This window comes from Homo sapiens, chromosome 17 (assembly GCF_000001405.40).
Source record: "Homo sapiens chromosome 17, GRCh38.p14 Primary Assembly".
NCBI classification, from domain to species: Eukaryota; Metazoa; Chordata; class Mammalia; order Primates; family Hominidae; genus Homo; species Homo sapiens.
Genome location: NC_000017.11, coordinates 61,586,848 through 61,593,038, shown reverse-complemented (window position 1 = coordinate 61,593,038; position 6,191 = coordinate 61,586,848). Strand labels below are relative to the sequence as shown.

Below are 6,191 nucleotides of genomic sequence, written 5' to 3'. Positions count from 1 at the left end.
CAAATTCCTGACCTTGTGATCCTCTTGCCTTGGCCTCCCAAAGTGCTGGGATTACAGGCGTGAGCCACCACGCCCGGCCAATATTAAGTTTTCTAAGATTTATTAATGTGGTTGTGTGCAACCTAGTTTACTAATTTTCACAATATGCCACAATTTATATCTTCTGTTCTTTTTAAGTGGTTTGTTTATATGTCTCTCTTTCTCATTTGATGAACAGAAACTGTGTCTTACCTATCTTTGCATGTTCCTCCCATTTAACCTGCTCAACCCAGCATATAGCACAGTATTTGCCTATCTCAGCTAGGACCTCAATACTGAATTACTACCCTATTGTGCTTCTTTAGTGATCATTTTCTTCCTTCTATGCAGCACCTATTCCAAATCTTTTCCATCATACATAAACCTTTAACTCTCTTGCCTTCCCCTCACTCTCAGCAGACAGCTCCTCTAGCCTCTTAGAAAAAAAAAAAAATAAATGTTACCAGATGGGAACTCCTTTGACATCGTGCTACCAAACCTAAAAATCTGCTTGCACCCAAATCCATATTTTTCTTCTTTCCTCCTATTACAATGAAAAGGATGCCTTTCCTGCTATTCAAGATTAGTCGTTCTACTTGTGCCATGGATTTCATTCCTGGCTCCTCAGAACCTTGACTGATCAACTTCCCTCTTTCATTTGTATTTAACTACTCCTTTTAGAATTTAAACATGCTCAGGTCTCTTCTTAGGAAGAATATGTGTTTACCTATCCGCCAACTATAATTATGTCTTCAGCTACTGCACTGTCTCCTCCCGCACAGTTAAACTTCTTATAAGAGTACTCTGATCTAATCCAATCTTTCCATTTCTTCAATTCCTACTTCTCAGCCCACTGCAATCTAACTGCCTTCTGAGTCATCCCCTGTAACTAAAGCAAAAACTCTCTTAACGTATATTTAGCCAACATAATGCAAATTGACTGATACTCTCTGTTGCCTTCGTGAAACATATTGGTGGAAGCCAACGGCACACTCTATAGCTAACGTGCTACTGCCTAGTACATACGCGGATTTTTGTTTTTTGGTTTTCTTTTCTATGGATTTTTTGTTTTCTCTATACAGTTATAGGCTTACCAAGAATCAGTTGTGTTTATTTAACCTATTTATGCTGGGTATTCTTATTACTATAATTATGTAATTTAACTGATTATTACGTAAACTCATTATATAACTGTTATATGAAATATAAATAGAAAAAATAAAATAGTTGTTTCTGTGCAAATTAAATTGAATGGTTTGGAAACATTTACAATTTTCCATTCATTGGGGGAGCAAGAAAAGATCGAGGGAAACCATACATATCTAGGATTCTGCGTTCAGATTGCTTCATGAGCACCTTTGAGTTCTTGGTCTATTTTAAATAAACTAAAACAGGGAATGATAGACAATACCTTTATAGATATGATTTATGTGAGAAAACCGAGGCTGAATTCCAATAAACAGATAATACTCAAAGAAAGGTTTACGGCTCCTATCAAAAGATTGGCAAATAAAAGTACAGTGATATGTTTTCAGTTAAAACAGCATGTTAAATAATGTAAATTTTAAAAAATGATTCCCCAATTTAGTCATTTTTTCAAGGAACTGACCATTAACCAATTCCCAAGTGCCACTCACACCGCACCACTCAGACCGCGTAACTTACAGTCTCTAAATCCAATAGATCCTTTTCCATTCCAACTTGACCTCATGGCAGTGTAGCACTGCTGACAAATGTCTTTTTAAATGCTCTCTTTTTGCTTCCCGCTGCAACAAGCGTGGGTCACGCTCTCGCTCGCGCTCTTTCTGCCGCCATCTTGCTTCCGCGTTCCCTGCACAAAATGCCGGGCGAAGCCACAGAAACCGTCCCTGCTACAGAGCAGGAGTTGCCGCAGTCCCAGGCTGAGACAGGGTCTGGAACAGCATCTGATAGTGGTGAATCAGTACCAGGGATTGAAGAACAGGATTCCACCCAGACCACCACACAAAAAGCCTGGCTGGTGGCAGCAGCTGAAATTGATGAAGAACCAGTCGGTAAAGCAAAACAGAGTCGGAGTGAAAAGAGGGCACGGAAGGCTATGTCCAAACTGGGTCTTCTACAGGTTACAGGAGTTACTAGAGTCACTATCTGGAAATCTAAGAATATCCTCTTTGTCATCACAAAACTGGACGTCTACAAGAGCCCTGCTTCGGATGCCTACATAGTTTTTGGGGAAGCCAAGATCCAAGATTTATCTCAGCAAGCACAACTAGCAGCTGCGGAGAAATTCAGAGTTCAAGGTGAAGCTGTCGGAAACATTCAAGAAAACACACAGACTCCAACTGTACAAGAGGAGAGTGAAGAGGAAGAGGTCGATGAAACAGGTGTAGAAGTTAAAGACGTGAAATTGGTCATGTCACAAGCAAATGTGTCGAGAGCAAAGGCAGTCCGAGCTCTGAAGAACAACAGTAATGATATTGTAAATGCGATTATGGAATTAACAGTGTAACCATCTGAAAGCAACTTTTTTTGGTGTCTCAAAGGAGTAACTGCAGCTTGGTTTGAAATTTGTACTGTTTCTATCATAAATAAAGTTATGACTTCTTGCTGGAAAAAGAAAAGAAAAGAAATGCTCTCTTTTTTTGGTCTCCAAGTGCCGTACTCTCCGGATCTACCTTCTTCCCTGGCTTATTCTTCAGTTTCCTTTGTGGTCATCTTTTCTTCTACCCAGTTCTTAAATATTAGTGCATCTCAGGGGTCTTTCCAAGGCCTTGTGTTCTTTTCACTCTGCACACTCAACATAGGTGATCAGATTCATTTCTCTTGCTGATGATCCTCAAATAGTTTCAGTCCCATCTTTGTCCTAAGACACAGATTTGGATATCCAGCCACCTACTTACCGTCTTTCCTTGGATACTCTCCCGGCACCTCAATCACAGGATAGCCAGAAGTATACTCATCATCTCTCCTCTACCGGATGACTAGAGCTCCTTCTCCAGTGTCCCCAGCTCAGTGAAAGTCACCATCATACCCTTCATTCCCAAACCAGCTACTCGATACTCATCCTTAGCTCTTCCCTATCCTTTAAAATCTCTGGCACCCAGTAAATCTTCAAGTCCTATTGCTACTGCCTCCTGAGCATTTCTCAGATTCATGCACCTCTCTGTGTCTCTACTGCCATCATCCTCTCCCAGATTTTCCTAATAACCTACTAAACCGTCTCTCTACCTCCAGTCTCTCTTCTGTCCGATCCATTCTGCAACCAGAGTTGCATATCCCTTCTTTAGTGTATGAGCAACTGAAATAGTCTGAACTCTTCATGTGGCTTATTAGGCCTTGTATGGTCTGGCCTCTGACAGTTTTCTGCTATTCCCCTAAATGCTCTGGTCATACTGAACGTCTTTCAGTTCCTGCAACATCACACTCCCTTGCCCTCAAGCGTTTACACATGCTGTTCCCTCTACCTGGAACATTCCTAGTCATCTTTCAAATCTCGGCTTCAAAATCATTTCCTCAGGAAAGTTTACCCTAATCCCTAGACTAGCTTAGGTCTCTCTGAAATATGTTCTCATTACGCCTCTCTTTGCTGTTTAGTATTTGTCTTCTTAATTGGATGAAGTCTCTGCAAGAATAGTGGCCATGTCTTTCCTATTCACTGCTGGGTTCCTAGCCCAGTTCCTATAGAGTAATAGGGACTCAGTAAATAATTGTTAAGCAAATGAATGAAAGAACAAATTGACAATAGCTAGCCCTCAATAATTGTTTGTTGGATGAATAGTTTTAAAATCAAATATACTATTAAATACAACTTGCTGTGCAGAGGAGAGTTGCCCTCAGCAAACTCACTGCCATGAGATATGTTATTCCAGAATCTGAAATTCTGGAGTTCTTTTTGGAATTGCCTTCATAACATGTGATATGTTCTCCTAAACACTCTAGATAGTGGCAAATACTCACACTTTGAGATTGGATTTTATTTTGGAAGCAGCAAAATCATTCAGAGCCAAAATGGGTGATCAAGCTGGGTAACTCCACCAGAGGTGAAAAATTAATTATGTGTGACTATAAATTAATGAGACTGAGTTTTCTATATGGCTCATAAACTAGGTCATAAGGCAATTCCAATAAAGAAGTTCCAAAAGTGTTTTGATCTAATGCAGGATTGTTAACAATGTTTGTATAGCTTCCCAAGGGAGCTCCTTTGTAGGAGGTATTGCTCATTTGATGTATACAGTCAGACATTTTTTAAAAATCGTGTTTCTTTTAGACACACCGTCTATGTACATATGAGCTTTCTTCAAGCTTCAGCAAAAGCATAATATAGTAGAGACCATAAATTAGAAGTAATTGTTACTTATCATCTTCATTGTTGTGAATACTTACAACAATATGCAAATTATTGATCATCATAATTTGACCACAGGTCACCACAAAACAAAGTTACTTTAGCCCACCTACTTCAACTACCTCCAACAAAATGTTATGAAATGTAGATAATCCTTTGCCAACTAAGATAGTTCTCCAGGGTACCCACCACTGTGAGATTGGGTTGGCTCTGTTCACTGAAGTTAATGAGTGAGTCCAAGGTTCATGGCACAGATGGTGCCTTCACGCTCTTGTCAGAAGCCTCGAAATATGTATTAATGGTCACAAGGGAAATCGTGGGCAAGAACAGAACTGCAGAAATAAATCTATTAAAAGCAGCAATAATAGATCTCACTTAGATCCCCCACAATGTGCTAGAAATTATGCTAAGCTAAGCACTTAATATGCAGGTGTTACTTTTCATTTTAGAACACAAAGCTAAGAAAGGTTGATGATACTCATTATCATAGATCTCTCAATTAAAAGAGCTAGACTGAGAACTCATGGTCTACATGATTCCAAAGCCCATGTTCTTTCCACTTCACTCAAATTAAGTAATGAAGTGGAACAAGGCTACTCTCATATGCAAAAATGGTACATTTTTAGATCCCAACTCTACCACTGTAATTCTTTTTGTGCCCATTTTTTCAGCAGTGTCTCAGTCTTCTGGCAGCTTTACCTTCTTCAAAATGAGCATCAAAGTTTTCTGTTGGGTACATTTCCCTCAACTTTTTACTATAATGTTGAGCATTTTCTGGCCATGGTCTTGACATTCCTTGAAGAGCTATGCCAACCTTCTAACTTCATTGCCCCCTAAGTTGTTACTGCCCATCCTTCTCAGATGATCTTCCCCGTGGAAACTAATTTTCCATGATTTTTACTTCTTGTAGAATGGCAGGCACGTTCTTGAAGGAAGGCACCAAGCTTCCCTATGGAGAATTTTTCTTGCCACTTGATAATTGAGTCTGTTATGGGGAAGGGTGGGGTGGGGATGAGGGTCGATGGAATATTTCTAGTTACTAAATCTGATATCTGTATCTTGTTCAAGTACAGACTCCAGTGTGGATCTGGACCTTGCTACTGGACTCTGTCAGTCTCTAGGGAATGCATCAGCTGTCATAATATTTTTATCATTTCTCTGTCTTGATTATGCCATTATGTAGATGGAACCAAATTCAGTTACCACCTTTAACTAGGTGCCCTTGTTGAGGTTCTTGGAGAGAAATATGATTCGTCTTGTGTAGGTAGGCTGGCACATTATCTCTGTTTTCTGGCTTAATAGTAGCAAAAAGACTATGACACAAGAGTCTTTAGTGCCCAGTGATAGGGAAGCATCCAGCTAAATAAATGAGTAAAGTCTTGTGCCATGAAAATCTGTGAATCCATTTTTCTACCTGTTTACAAGTTAGCATGCTTTAACCTCATCTCCTTGTGCGTTGGACTTCATAGAGTTTATTTTAAGGTCAGTAGAGTCTGTTTCTAGCTCATCATTAATTTTAATTCTTTGTCTATCCCTTGCCATTCATCATGATTTATTTAATTAGTATTATAAGCATCTCTTGAGTCACCTCTGCTCATAGAGATCTTTTCTGGGCCCGAAAAATAATATAGAATTTTATAAGCCATCCTCTATTCTCGAAGATCCTCTTATATTGTAATGAGGAGGGTAAACACATGAAAAAAAACTTACCTAAGATAAATATTTCAAAGGATATAAGAAATAATTAGAAAGAAAACGTCCAGGTGTGGTGGCTCATACCTCTAATCCCAGCTCTTTGAGAGGCCTAGGTGGGAGGATCAGTTGAGCCCAGGAGTTTGAGACAAGCCTG

At 39.5% G+C, this 6,191-nt stretch overlaps 1 protein-coding gene across 1 annotated transcript; it reads left to right on the top strand.

The window, feature by feature from the left end:
* Positions 1 to 1,819: 1,819 nt before the first annotated feature.
* NACA2 (nascent polypeptide associated complex subunit alpha 2) lies at positions 1,820 to 2,618 on the top strand. Its single transcript, NM_199290.4, has one exon. It carries the CDS (start codon positions 1,859 to 1,861, stop codon positions 2,504 to 2,506), a length of 648 nt encoding a protein of 215 aa, NP_954984.1. The 5' UTR covers positions 1,820 to 1,858; the 3' UTR covers positions 2,507 to 2,618.
* Positions 2,619 to 6,191: the final 3,573 nt, after the last annotated feature.

Bases quoted from the DNA above. Each gene is read 5' to 3' on its own strand.
- NACA2 (NM_199290.4), top strand. From the start codon at position 1,859: ATGCCGGGCGAAGCCACAGAAACCGTCCCTGCTACAGAGCAGGAGTTG.